At 38.8% G+C, this 15,369-nt stretch overlaps 1 protein-coding gene across 4 annotated transcripts in view, besides 1 other annotated feature; it reads right to left on the bottom strand.

Moving 5' to 3' along the window:
* MCU (mitochondrial calcium uniporter) overlaps window positions 3,001-15,369 on the bottom strand; it is a 195,552-nt gene continuing 183,183 nt past the window's right edge. For all 4 annotated transcript variants that reach the window (NR_073062.2, NM_001270679.2, NM_138357.3 and 1 more), the window contains 2 exons: window positions 6,313-6,429; window positions 3,001-4,950 (listed from right to left, as the gene is read on the bottom strand). Coding sequence is in view for 3 of the 4 variants with exons in the window: in NM_001270679.2 (NP_001257608.1) it covers window positions 4,873-4,950; window positions 6,313-6,429 (195 nt within the window). In the remaining variant the exon portion in view is untranslated. The remainder of the gene's footprint in view (window positions 4,951-6,312; window positions 6,430-15,369) is intronic.
* Window positions 3,390-3,684: an enhancer, noted in NCBI's record as "tiled region #6662; HepG2 Activating non-DNase unmatched - State 15:Elon, and K562 Activating non-DNase unmatched - State 14:Gen5'". NCBI's record gives its function as "activates a minimal TATA promoter and a strong SV40 promoter by Sharpr-MPRA in HepG2 and K562 cells {active_cell/tissue: HepG2 | K562}" and the evidence as "EXISTENCE:reporter gene assay evidence [ECO:0000049][PMID:27701403]".

The following is a 15,369-nucleotide window of genomic DNA, read 5'->3' as shown; positions in this document are numbered from 1 at the left end:
AAGTGCTGGGATTACAGGCAAAGTAGGTAATCTTATATTCAGTAGGATTCATTAAAAATAACTTACACATTTATCCTAAGGAAATATCACAAGCGCACCATGGGAAATAAGGAGCTTGGACTCATTTGGGAGAGCAACAAACAAACGTTGGCAGTGATAAAACTGAATTAAAACTCTGAAGAGTTTCGGTGAAACTGAGCTCTAAAATCTAAGAAGTCCCATTTTTCTGTGAAATCTTTCCAGATAGATTTAAAAAGTCAACCTATTTGTATTTGTTTTTGAAAGCATCCACCATGTGCTTACCACTGCACCCTGACAAGCAGGATACCACATTAGTGTTAACATCACCTCTGGTTACATCTTTTCTACTCACCAGTCACCATGCTCAGCAGTCCTCCAGCCACTCAGTCTGGTACTTGACCACAGGATGCACTGAGGAGTTGTGATGTAGGCGCCATCTCTGAGCCTCAGTTCCTTTCTCTTTAAAGTGATGGTTCTCATCAGAATCACCAGGAGGGCTTGTTGAACACTTGGCTCCACTCCTAGTTTCTGATCCAAAGGGGACCGGAGAACTTGCATTTCTAACAGCTCCAGGAGATGACATGCTGCTGCTCTGGGGACCATGTTCTGAGAACCCTTCTACTTTTTCCACCTCTAAAGTCTATGCTTCCTCAGCAAAACTGCATTACTTACACTCAGTAATAGATTTGACACTATCATTATTTGCCTCTAATCCACTATGCTTTTTTTTCTCTATTGTGGTAAAATATACATAAAATCTATCATTTTAACCACTTAAGTGTACAGTTCAGTGGCATTAGGTACATTCACATCGTTGGGCAACCATCACCACCAACCACCTCCAAAACTTTGTCATCTTCCCAAACTGACACTCTGTATGCATTAAACAATAACTTGTCATTCTTCCCTCCCTCACCCCGGCAGCCACTATGTTACTTTGTGTTTCTATGAATTTGACGAATCATGTAAGTGGAGTCATACAGTAATTGTCCGTTTGTGACTAGCTTGATTCATTTAGCATGTGTCTTCAAGGCTCATCCTTGTTATGGCATGTGACCCAATTCCATTCTTGTATGGCTGAATAATAATCAGTTGTGTGCACACACCATGTTTTGTTTATCCATTCATTTGTTGGCGGACACTCAGGTTACTCCTACCTTTTGGCTATGGTGAATAACGCTGCTATGAACATGTGTGTACACGTTTGTCCCTACTTTCAATTCTTTTGGACATATGCCCAGAAGTGGAATTGCTGGATCATATGGTAATTGTTTCACTTTCTGAGGAGCCACCATAGGAACCATTTTTCACAGGAGATGAACCATTTTACATTCCCGCCAGGAGTACCAAGGGTTCCAATTTCTCACCAACGTTTTATTTTCTGCTTTTTCTGATAATAGCCATTCTGATGGGTGTGAAGTGGTATTTCATGGTAGTTTTACCTTTCCTTATTAGTGATGTTGAGCATCTTTTCATGTTTATTGGCCATTTATATATTTTCTTGGAGAACTGTCCAACTCCTTTGCCCATTTTTTAATAAGGTTTCCTTTGTTGTTCACTATACTTTAAGCTTGTCCTACCCATGGTTTGCAGGCCGTGTGCAGCTCAACACAAATTCGTAAACTTTCTTAAAACATTGAGGGTTTTTTGTGTTTTGTTTTAGCTCATCAGCTATCATTAGTGTTGGTGTATTTTATGTGTGGCCCAAGACAATTCTTCTTCTTCCAGTATGGTGCAGGGAAGCCAAAAGATTGGATACTCCTGCTTTAAACTTCAAATTGTAAGCTCCTTAAAGGCAGGAATCATGTTTTCATTTTCCTTAAAAAACCTAACCAAAACAAACACAACCCTGCAAAGCTTAACAGAATGTGTGAAGTATGTAGATACCATTTGTTGAATGCAAAAAACGACTTAATATTTTCAACCTTGTAAGAGTTGAAGAAAGAAGGAGGAAACACAAGAAGTGGCTCAATAGTCAAAGACAGGTTTATTTTGGGGAGTATTCTGGCTGATTTCAATCAGGAGCATTCTGTCTTACAGACTGAGGGTACTTAAGGGTTTAGCAAGGGAGAGCTTATCGCATGCTCGGAGTGTTTCTGGGTGGAGGAGAATTTTATTTCAAGGGTGGAATGTCTGTTCGGAGGGGAGGTTATCTCGGGGCTGGGATGTCTCTGGTCAGAGGGGGCTTTATCTCAGGGTTGGAAAGTTTCTGGTCTAAGGTGTCATTTATGGTTTATGGTCATGCTGACATTAGCCATTAGGCTGATGTTTTCTGGGCTGGATTTAGGCGGTTTTTAATTGGGAGAACTTAAAATGGCAGTGCTTGTCCAAGATGGCGATGCTTCTGCTCTGTCAAACCTTACCTTCTTACACTTTACATGGGGGTAAGGGTTGTCTGCGTTAGGCTGCTGTAAGCTGCCAGAAGGCAGGACCACAGCTACAGAGGCTCTTTGAACAGCACCTCATATTGCACTCCAGCAACCAGATATTTAATACAAGTTTTTAAATATGCCTGTGGTGATCTTGGCAGCATGTGATATTTCCTGTTTGGCTACCACTGTAAATTTGATACAAACTCTGAAAATAATGAATACTTAATTTTGGTGCGTCTTTGAACAATTTTCTTGAGTCCAGGAGCCCATAGCACTGGGCAATCCAGGTGATCTGATACCACAGAGATTTTTCCTGTCAATCAGGAGATGAGGATTCAGGCTCACTGAGACTGCTGCTGCTGACTTTATTAACGGTTGTACAGGTCACTCAACCTCTTGGTGGCTCTGGAAAATTAGGAAAATACTGATTATCTTAGGTTCAGGAAGAACTAGTGAAATGCCTATTTTTGAAATATAGGCTTAAGGAAGAGCTTAATTTGATAATGATATTTTTATAAAAATGAATTTTAGAAGTAAAAAACTTCCCACCTAGAATCACAGGAAATGTAGTTTTTCTGGTTTTGTTTTAAAGAATGAGATGCTATCGTTCAAAAATTGAATAAGTATTTATTGTTCCAGAAGGTACATTGCTTTTTATACATATTTCATAAATGATACAGGATTTTACACATGTTCAATAGTTTGCTATTTGTTTAAAGAACTTTTCTCCATGTCCTCCCTCCCTTGCTTCCCACACACCCCAAAAAGATTTGCTCGTTGCACTGTGCTGTTTCTTCTTAAAAACCCTATGCACAAACAGGATAAATGGGTTAAAAATAATTCACACAACTTAACAAAAATAAATGAGGGAAGGAGCTGACGACTGGGGGTGGTGGAGGGAGAAGGAAGTGGGCGGAGGGTCAGGAAGTGGAGACATGCATCCTTTCATTCCGTCATGCCAATGAAAGGGGTGTTGGCAGGAGTAGCAGCAGCAGCAGCAATCCTGGCTGGCCTTCAACCTTTGCAAGGCACCTGGAGTCTGGGTTTGTCATTTAAAGTTTTTCTTTTCATACACAATGATCCCAAAGGAGGAAGAAAAAGAGAAAGAAACTCCTTGCCACAATGAGGAAGGATGAATCACGTGAAAGAAAAGGCCAATCAGTGGTGTGGCAGCCCCCATCATCCTTTCCATCCTGCCCCTACAGCAGTTAAAAACAGGATATTAGACACAGATTCCTTTGACTCTTCAAGCGCAGATGTCATCTGGAAATATGGTAGAAAATGTTTTGACAAAGTATAAGATTAATTCTCTTTCTCTCAATTTAAGATAAGAAAAAATAGGGTGAAGAGAGTGGGCTTGAAGGAAGCCCTAGAAATGTATTCCTATATAAAGATAAATTGCACCCTTTGAGATCCACACACTTGATTTACAACTGAAGTTGTGGAGGTGGGAGGGCTCACAAACAGTGTGGAAGTGTGTGTCCTTCGAGATGAACAAAGCCTCCAGACAAGGCAGTCCCATCTGGCTGGCCTGGAATGCTGTCACACAAAGCAGATTAGCAATAAAATTATTCTGGTTGAAATGGCTACAGAGCCATGATTCTTAGCCAATTTGTAAACCTTACATCTTCCTGATTTGGTAGTACAGCTGAACACCCCCTTTCCCTCTGATTTGTGTTCTGGAGGGAGAGGGGATTATCAATAGATAAGTATATAAAGGAGGGCAATTATTCCTCCTGTGAAAGACTAATTAATAAAACAAAACAAAACCAACAACCTCATGCAGTGTTGCCAGTGATTTTTAGACACTGATCCAGAGCACTGGGATATATAGACATTTAAGAAGGTATTAAGAGATAATCTAAAGTGTCAATTATTAAACAGTTATAAGTTGGTTCCAATTATCAAATGGAAAAAATGAGTGTAACCAAGAGGTACAGGTAGGTGGTCAGTAAAGGGATGCTGGAAGGAAAGATTCCTGGTAACTCTGCAGAGACTGGGTCCAATTTAAAATAAATGCTAATGATATTTTAGCATATCATGAGAATTTGCTTTTCTAGTATATTTATTTACTCCTATGTCAAAAATAGGGACAGTTAAATTAAAAACAAATAGAGTCGAGTGGGGTGCTGGTGTGTTACTCTTTTGCTGACTCTGCAAAGAAGATGCAAGAAACGAACACCCCCAGCATTGTTTTCTCTTTATGAATCTCTCAACTATATAACTGCATCATTTTCATCCAGAAACTGAGATACTTGGTTAAGACAATATTCACTAAGCCCTTTGAGCTTATATTCCACAATGCCTGATCCTCAGGTTTTAACATTCCCTTCTTCCCTCAGATCCTTTCTGTTTTTGTTTTATAATTAAAGGTAAAAACGCTCTACCCCCCACATGGCTCCCAGCTTCCACCTGCAATGCTTTAATTAAAAAGGCAAACAGGTGTTCCTTCTGCCAGGATTCAGAGGCTTTTTGCAGATCAATCTTTTTCACCAATTTGTCGGAGAGGCAGATGTACTTGTAATGGGTCTCTCAGTCTCTTAAGGTCCATTTCTGCCTAAAATAGAAACAAAAGGTGAGAAAACTGGCTAGTGAAGCTTTCAATGATATTACTGTCTACCAAGAAAAGGAAACTGTTCTCCATTACTATAAGTCAGAGAGATCATCTCAATAACTCTCAAAATAAGAGTGCCTTGAAAGACAAAGCATTTTAACTCACGGCATAGGACAACAAAGGGTGAATCCAAAATGGAAGCCATCCTTGGCAGTTTCAGCCCTCAACAAAGCCTCCAGAAAAATCAGTGCTATCAACAGGGTAGGACTCAGAGGCTAAGAATGTAAGGAGCATCTGAGACATACATCTTGATGGTGTTTCTCCAGTGAGAAGCCCTTTCACAAGGGCTAAGAGCCAGAACTTTATGCTACTCAAGATTTTAGTTATTTATCCAGTACCTGTTTAAGTTTTTACTTAGCCAGTGAATTTTGGAACAGCGTGTGTAGTCAACTGTAGTACTTTCAAAACTCACACATGCTTGGACTTCACCCGGGAGGAGCTGGACTAACGAGCAAGCCTAGGGTGAGACTGAAGCATCTGTACTTTTAACAGCTCCAGGCATGATTCTGATGTATTCCCTCCAGTTTAGAATCACCATACATAGCAAAGGAAGACAGAACTCCACTTAGGCCAAAGCAGGAAGATGGATTAAGCCTATTCAAAGCACAACCCTATCATCAAGAAGAGACAGGAAAGGCAGAGAAGAGCAACTAAACATTAAAGAGGATGGAAAAGCTTCTAGAGATTGCTGAAAAATCTCTAAAGTCACAAAGACTACAGAGAAAAGGAATGAGGGTTTATTCACCAAAATCAAAGATAACAGAGTGAGGGAGGCACATCCAGAAATTTGAAAGAGGTAGCTTTTATGAAAAATAAAATATATCAATCTTTTCCAAGCATCTTCTAGTTTAATAATCTCTAAACTGTCCCTGGCAAAGATCTCTAGCAGTCTTTCCCTCTTACCTGGGTTTTACTTTTCCCCACTGCTACCACACATTTTTGTGAAAAATCTTAGATAAATTATTACAGAAATAATCAAAAAGCAGAGGGAAAAGTAGAAACAGACAACTACAAAGAAATAAAATGAAAAAAAAAAAAAAGTAAAAGTAGGCCTAAAAATGTCAATGTGCTAGTGTTAACAGGATGGAGCAAACACACCATCTTCTCACTTGCTTTTTATAAAACTTTCTAGAGAAATGTCCATGCCTAAAATAGTTACTGTAATCAACTGAGGAATAATTTATACAGGAAGAAGAGGGTTGGAACATTCCTTCAGTTTACTCATTTGAAGAACCGTGGCTGTGGATAATAATAATAACCATGCAAGATAGGGCTGGGATTTATTTTAATTTTTGTAAAACTTACCTGAGCAATTGCATCCTTGAGTTGATTGTATTTCTCTAGGTCAAAACGTGACTTTTTGGCTCCTTTATGGAAAAATAGTAAGTATTGTCTGTCTCTGGCTTCTGGATAAACATATTCCTAAAAAAATGAAGAAACGGAATTATCAGTCCTTAGCATACTATCTTCACAAAATATTTACTAACTGCTGCTTAGATTCAATACATATGTATGCGTGTGTGCTGACATGTGCTGTGTTAAGTATTTAATCACCACCTGAACATTTCTACTGTGAAACATACAGAACAGTACACACAAAATGTACATCACAGTGAATCATCACACAATGAACATGCTACTCATCACCAGGTTTTATAAAAATAGAACTCTGCCAACAATCCAGAAACTCCCTCTTGCCCCTTCCCAATTACTCATATCTCTTTCCCCCAAAGTAATCACTCTCTTGACTTTTATGGTAATTGTTTTCTTATTTTCTTTATAACTTACCTCCTTAAGCATGTATTCCTAAGTTCCACAACTTAGTTTTACCTGTTTTATGAATTTTATGAAGATGGAGTCATACAGTATATATTTATATGGCTACCTTCACTCAGTATTAGGTTTGTGAAATTCACCTTTTGTGTGTAGCTGCAGTCTATTCATTTCCATTATATTATATTGTGTGACTTCATCATAGTTTATTTAACCATTCTACTATTGATAAGCTTTTGGGTTGTTTCCGTTCTTACTAATAATGCTGCCAAAAGCATTTCTGGATTTATCTCTTCTGCTGGAGATATACCTAGGAGTGGAAATCTTAGATCACAGGGTATGCATGTGTTCAAATGTAAGCAGTGATGATAAACAGTTTCCAAAATGGTTGTACCAATTATACTTCTATCAGCAGGATTATGAGGTACCACCATTCCACACCCTTGCCAATACTTGATATTGCCAGTTTAAAAGACGTTAGCCATTCTGCTGTGTATGCAATACTGTCTCATTTTTAAAAAAAGCTTTATTGAGATATAATTCACATACCATACAATTTACTCAAAGTATAATGCTCAATGGTTTATAATATAGTCACAGAGTTGTACAATCATTACTACAATTTTAGAACATTTTCATCACCCCAAAAAAGAACTCCATACCTTGTGACAGTCAAGTCTCCTCTCCCCCCAAACCCCCAGTTCTAGGCAGCTACTAATCTTTCTTCTGCCTCTGTAATTTGTCTATTCTGGACATTTCATATAAGTGGAATCATACAATATGTGGCCTTTTGTGTCTGGCTTCTTTCACTTAGCATAACATTTTCAAGGTTCATCCATTTGTGGCATGTATCAGTATTTCATTTCTTTTTATTGCCAAATAACATTCCATTAATAGTTATCGGGGAATCTGCCCTGATAGTCACGTAGGTTCTTTTCTATTTTCCCTAAGCGTTGGCCAGTTTGAGAAATAAAGGGACAGAATACAAAAGAGAGAAATTTTAAAGCTGGGCATCCGGGGGGGACATCACATGTCGGTAGGTTCCGTGATGCCCCACAAGCCGCAAAACCAGCAAGTTTTTATTAGGGACTTTCAAAAGGGGAGGGAGTGTACGAATAGGGTGTGGGTCACAGAGATCACATACATCACAAGGTAATAGAATATCACAAGGCAAATGGAGGCAGGGCGAGATCACAGGACCACAGGACCGGGGTAAAATTAAAATTGCTAATGAAGTTTCGGGCACCATTGTCATTGATAACATCTTATCAGGAGACAGGGTTTGAGAGCAACTGGTCTGACCAAAATTTATTAGGTGGGAATTTCCTCTTCCTAATAAGCCTGGGAGCGCTATGGGAGACCGGGGTTTATTTCATCCCTACAGTTTCGACCATAGAAGACGGCCACACCCAAGGGGGCCATTTTAGAGACCCAACCTCAGGGGTGCATTCTCTTTCTCAGGGATGTTCCTTGCTGAGAAAAAGAATTCAGCGATATTTCTCCCATTTGCTTTTGAAAGAAGAGAAATATGGCTCTGTTCCACCTGGCTCACTGGCGGTCAGAGTTTAAGGTTATCTCTCTTATTCCCTGAACAATTGCTGTTATCTTGTTCTTTTTTCAAGGTGCCCAGATTTCATATTGTTCAAACACACATGCTCTACAATTTGTGCAGTTAATGCAATTATCACAGGGTCCTGAGGTGACATACTTCCTCCTCAGCTGACAGGATTAAGAGATTAAAGTAAAGACAGGCAGAGGAAATCACAAGGGTATTGACTGGGGAAGTGATAAGTGTCCATGAAACCTTCACAATTTGTGTTTAGAGACTGCACTAAAGACAGGCGTAAGAAATTATAAAAGTATTAATTTGGGGAACTAATAAATGTCCATGAAATCTTCACAATCCACGTTCTTCTGCCATGGCTTCAGCCGGTCCCTCCGTTTGGGGTCCCTGACTTCCCACAACAATAATTATGCCACATTTTATTTATCCATTCCTCAGCTGATAGCATTTGGGTTGTTTCCACGTTGGGGCTATTATGTACAATCCTGCTGTGAACACTTGTGTACAAGTTTTTGTGTGGATGTACATTTTCATTTCTCTTGGAGATACACAGCATTTTCCTGATCACTAAGAGGCTGAGGCCTTTCCATTTAATCTATTATTGGCCATTTGCATATCTTCTATTAGAAGTGCCTGTTCAGATATCTTGCCATTTTTTCTAGTGGAGTCTGTCACTTTCTTACTGATTTGTAGAATTTGTTTATATATTCTGGATATAGATCCTTTGTAGGGTATACATACTGCAAGTATCTCCTTCCAGCCTATTTACCCTCTTCATGGTGTTAATAAACAGATATTAATTTAATGTAGTCTAATTTATCATTCTCTTTTGTGAGATGGGATCTTGCTATGTTGGCTGGCCTCAAACTCCTGGGTTCAAGCGATCCTCCCATCTCAGCCTCCCAAGTAGCTGTGATTACAGGCATACACCACAGTGCCTGGCTTACTTTATCACTCTTATCCTGTATGGTTAGTGCTTTTCATTCCGTGTAAGAAATCATTCTCTATTCTACAGTCATTAAGATATTCTCTTATAGGAGCTATAAGAGAATAGCTATACATTACCTATCACATTTAGATCTACAATCCACCTGGAATTTATTTTTGTTTATAGTATAAAATGGGGTTATTTCATTTTTTAATATAGGTATTTAATTGTCCTAGCACCATTTATTGAAAAAGACTCTCCTTTCTTTGTAGGGCCATCTTTTTTGTTTATTTATTTTTGAGTCTCACTCTGCCACCAAGGCTGGAGTACAGTGGTGTGACCATAGCTCAATGCAGCCTCAAGATCCTGGGCTCAAGCAATCCTCCTACCTTGGCTTCCTGAGTAGCTCGTACCTACAGGTGCACGACACCACACTCAACTAATTTAAAAAAATTTTTTTAGCTATTGGGTCTCACTATGTTGTCCAGGCTGGTCATGAACCCCTGGCCTCAAGTGATTCTCCCACCTTGGCCTCCCAAAGCACTGGGATTATAGGCATGACCCATCATGCCTGGCCTGCCATCTTCTTAAAATCAAAAGTTCATTTATACTGGGTCTGTTTCTATACTCTTCTATTCTATAGGTCTGTCCTTGTGCCACTGTTATTGAAGTGTTATAACTAAAGCTGTAGTCTTCATATCTAATAGAGCAAATCCTCTTACCCAGTTTTTCTTCAAGAGTTTAATGGCTTTTCTTAGTCTTTTACATTTTCATACCGTTTTAGAAGCAGTCTATTCAAATCTCTTCCCCAATCCCCAAATCTGTTGGGTTTTTGACTAACTGGGATTGTACTGAATCTAATGGATCAGTTGAGTAGAACTGACATTTTTGGATAGAGTCTTATACATTTTTTATACATATATTTCTAGGGTTTCCCCCCCCCCGCTTTGCCTTCTACGTGTGGTCTATGTATTTTTAAAAGTAATTTTAAGGTGCAGCTTTAAATATTTTCATTTTCTAACCATTTGTTGCTAGCAATATAGAAACGCAATTGATTTACATACATTGATCTTGTATCCAATAACCTTATGAAACTCACTTATGGATCCTAACCAATTATCTGTACATTTCTTCTGTATTTTTTCATGTACAAAATCTGTAAGTGTCAGTTTTCTTTCTTTCCAATCTTTGTATCTTTCATATTCTGTTCTTGCCTTCTGCACTGGCTAGGGCCTCCTCTTCAAAGGTGAATAGGAGCGGTACTTCTACCTTATTCCCAGACAATGAAGGAATATTAGAACATTTTAAGTCTATTTACCTGCTCCAGACATATATGTCATTGTTGTTGCACATTTAATTTTACTTATTTATTTTTGAGACAGAGTCTCACTCTGTCACCCAGGCTGGAGTGCAGTGGCGTGATCTCGGTTCATTGCAACCTCCACCTCCTGGGTTCAAGCGATTCTCATGCCTCAACCTCCCCAGTAGTTGGAATTACAGGTGTGTGCCACCATGCCCAGCTGATTTTTTTATATTTTTAATAAAGACAGGGTTTTGCCATGTTGGCCAGGCTGGTCTCAAACTCCTGACCTCAAATGATCTGCCCGCCTCAGCCTCCCAAAGTGCTGGGATTACAGGCATGAGCTACTTAGCCCGGCCTGTTGTTGCATTTTAATTCTCTCTATATTTTAAATTCCATAAGAGTTTATTATTGTTTATACATTTAATATTAGTTTAGACTCATCACTCACAGGTTTACCATTTTTGTTGCTCTTTATTCCTTTCTGCTTTTCCGACTTTTCACGTGTGATAATCTTTCTTCTGCCCAAAGAACATCTTTCAGTATCTCCTTTAGTGCAGATCTGATGGTGACAAATTCTCTGTCTGAAAATGTCTTTATTTTGGAAAGATATTTTTTGCTGAGTATAGAAGTCTAAGATGACAGTTATTTTCTTTCTAGAAATTGAAGATACTATTCCATTGTCTTTGGCTTTCATTGCTGCTATTGAGAAGTCAGCATTCAGTCTAACAGGGACTCCTTTGAAGGCAAACTTTTTTCTCTCTTTGGCTGCTTTTAAGATTTTTCCATTTGGCTTTGGCTTTTGAAGTTTTACTACCAATATATCTCAATGGAAATTTCCTTTTTTATTTTATTTTTTTGATACAGAGTCTTGCTCTATTACCCAGGCTGGAGTGCAGTGGTGTGATCTCAGTTCACTGCAACCTTCGTCTCTCAGGTTCAAGCGATCCTCATGCCTCAGCCTCCCGAGTAGCTGGGATTACAGATGTGTGCCACATGCCCAGCTAATTTTTGTATTCTTAGTAGAGAAGGGGTTTCGCCATGTTGGCCAGGCTGGTCTCAAACCCCTGGCTTCAAGTGATCCACCCACCTTGGGCTCCCAAAGTGCTGGGATTACAGGTGTGAGCCACCGCGCCCAGTCAGATTTCCTTTTTTATATTGGCTGGTATTGGTTGGGATTCTTAAATCTGTAAATGGATGTCTTTCATCATTTTGGAAAATTCTCAGCCATTAACTCTTTATTTAAATATTGTTTCTTCCCATCCTCTTTCTCTTCTCCTTCTGAGACTCCAATAAAATTAAATACATATTAGGCCTTTCCACTGTATACTGTGTCTCTTACCCTTTCCTATATTTTACATCTTTCTGTATCTGCACACTTCATTTTGAATAGTTTCTTGTGCCTTACTCAAGGTCACTATTTCTGTCTTTTGTTATGTCTAATCTGCTATTAAACCCATCCATTATATTTCACTTCTAAAATTTTTCAATGGGTTCTTTAAACAAAAAATCAAGTTATCTGCCAATATTCTCAACCTTGTTGTTTATCTCCCTGAATATAGTAAGTATAATTATTTTAAAGGCTATGTCTGATAATACCAATATCTGGAGTCCTTGTGTCTGTTTGTAATGTCTATTGTTTCTGTAGGTATTGTGTATCTGCTTATTTTTATTGTATGTCTAATTTAATATCTGCAAAACTGGCCAGGCATGGTGGCTCATGCCTGTAATCCAGCACTTTGGGAGGCTGAGGCAGGCAGATCGCTTGAGCCCAGGAGTTTGAGACCGGTCAGAGTGACATGGAGAAACCACAGCTCTACAAAAAATGCCAAAAAATCCTAGCTGGGCATGGTGATATGTGCTTGTAGTCCCAGCTACTCAGGAAGCTAAGAGGGAGGGCTGCTTGAGCCTGGGAGTATGAGGCTACAGTAAGCCATGATTGTGCCACTGTACTCCAACCTGGGCAACAGAGTAGGACTCTGTCTCAAAAAAAAAAAAAAAAAAAAAAAAAGCAAAATTATTTGTAGAAATAATTTAAGGTTTAGAATAATGTTATCTCCTCCCAGGGATGATTTATGTTTGCTTCTGCATGAAACCTGTGAGCATCAGCACTCGGGGATTACCAGTATTCCAGGACTACCTCAATCTAATTTACAGGATTGAGATGAATGAAAGATGAGCTACAGTACCTGAAAGAGCCTATACTAGGTGAATCCTTATTCTACAATGGTAGCCTTTACAGGTTCCAAATCAAAGCAAGATGGTTTCTGTTTCGCCTACTTTAGTGATCATTAGACACCAATCTCTAAGGCTTTGGTTCCTCTAGGCTAACAAGTGTGGCTCAGCTTCTTGGCCTCTCCACTATACTCTCCTCAATTAGCATAAATCCCCAGAGGAAAAAGCACACCTAAATACTAGTCTCATCTTCCTGGGACTCCTCTTATTTAGACCCTTACCTAGCAATTTTTGCTATTTTGTTAGTTCTCTAGTATCTTTAAACAGATGTGTATTATGTTTTGTCTAACAATTCTAACTTTTCTTGGTGGAAGGACTGATTGATTGCCTAGTATGCCACAACTAGAACCAGAGTAAATATTTAGTTATTGATGATGATAGATAATAGATATTGGATGACTGATAGCTAAAGGGTTTGTGGAAGCCTTTTTAAAATGAATAAAATCGAGGTCTGAATCAACTGAAGGGATAATTAGTGGATTAAGAACTTGAGGGAAAGCCCTCTACATTCATCTAACATGCTGCTACTAGGCTATTCACCTATGTTTGCTTAGGATGCAAATATACACACTAAGTTTATTCAAATCTTTCTGTGCTTCCTCTTTCGGGCAACAATCATTTACTGAGCAACTATGTGCTAGACTCTATTCTAAAATTTCTGTGATTTGGGCTAAGTGCAGTGGCTCATGCCTGTAATCCTAGTATTTTGAGAGGCTGAGGCGGAGGATCACTGGAGCTCAGGAGTTTGAGACCAGCCTGGGCAATGTAGGGAAACCCTGTCTACAAAATATTTAAAAAATTAGCTGGGCATGGTGGCACATGCCTATGGTCTCAGGTACTCATGAGGCTGAGGTGGGAGAATTGCTTGGGTCTGAGAGGTAGATGCTTCAGTGAGCTGTGATTATGCCACTGCATTCTAGCCTAGGAGACAGAGTAAAACCCTGTCTCAAAAAAAAAAAAAAAAAACTGTGATTTGATACTAAGTGAGAGAAGATGCAGACAGTTTTGTTAGGAAAGAAAGAAAGTCACAGAGGGAGAGGTTAAAAACACAGGGAACACAAAAAAGAAACTGGAATAAGATACTAGGAGGAAGGAATGGGATTAAGAACATGTGGAGGGGCTAGCCCTAAATAGGAAAATGCCACCTCTTCTTGGAATTTGATGGAAATCGTGTAAAATTCAGTACAGATACAGTTGCATTTACAGTTTTAAGAATTAGAAAGCTTCTAACTGTTAACTTCAATTTTCTAGGAGAAGGTTAAGGGTGGGATGGGGATCTTGATGTGAAGTCTTAGAATAACTACTATGGGGATATGAGGGAAGAAAATATGATTAAAAACACAAGCAGTGGCCCATTCTACACTATGACATGCTTTCTCTCTAGTAATATTTAATAGCCTAGATATAGATAGGATAAAGGTCTAGATTAGTCCAATATTAGGAGTTTATAGAGTACATACTGTAAAAGACAAAAGGGCAGGGATGGTAGCATACTAAGAAGAGAATGGCAACACAGTTTAAATTGGATAGAAAAGGAAGTGATACAGGAGGAAGGTGACAGTAAAAAGTTAAGGGAAAGATGCCAGTAGCTTAAAGGTCTGGATGAGGTCAAAGGAGTGAGTGAGTGAATAAAAGGTCTAGAAAGAAAATAAATTATCAGAAATTAACATACTAATTTATATTATAAGTGGGACAGTTCTAGGAAAGAAGGCCCTGAACAGCCATTGAAGTGGTTTGCCGGAGTACAATATAAATGACGGTTATTGGAATTGAGGAGGTAAAGGGTATTAAAGGCTAGGTCACTATTTATCAACACTTTTTTCATTATTGCCACCCTAAGTAGCTTTTTAAGGCATTTTTTTCCTGATTACTCCTCCTTCCCACAGGAGGTTTAATATACTGTTTATCTGTTTATGCATTATAATATGCAATATGTTTTTACTCCCCAAGAATCAATGCTCACTCCTATGAGGCAACATCATCCCCTTCATTGAAAAGGCATGGGCCAGATGGTGGGACGGCTGGTCCACCTGCACGCTGACACAGCTCCCACAGGCAAGTCTTACTGCCCAGCTCCTTTTCCACATAATAGAAATCAGTACTCAGGTTCTACTGAAATATTAATCAGCAAAACTCAATATTCCATTTGATTTTATGATTTCAAGGAGCTTGCCATCTTAAAAAGATTCTTTGGAACTTAACATACTATTGGGATATATTTAGACTGTTAACAAGTACAGCAACTCATAGTAACAGCAGTTTAGAAGAGTTTAAATGCCATTGAACAGGCATTTGCTTCAGAGGTAATAAGATGGGTATGTTAGTAAAAATATTTAATATGAAAACTATTTACATTTTATTTGGTCACTGTTTTCCTATTCATAAGTGAATAGTGACTAAATTATTTACTACTGCTATTTTGCAACTTGTCACTTGGGGGCAGCAAGACTATTTTGGTAATCACAGAATGGAGCATTTAACTAGTAGGACAGGTAGGGCATTAAAGATTCTACAGCATGACGAGAAGGGAGAAAGTGGTAACACTGTATTCAAGTCTAATAC

This window comes from Homo sapiens, chromosome 10 (assembly GCF_000001405.40).
Source record: "Homo sapiens chromosome 10, GRCh38.p14 Primary Assembly".
NCBI classification, from domain to species: domain Eukaryota; kingdom Metazoa; phylum Chordata; class Mammalia; order Primates; family Hominidae; genus Homo; species Homo sapiens.
This window is presented reverse-complemented; position numbering and strand designations above follow the sequence as displayed.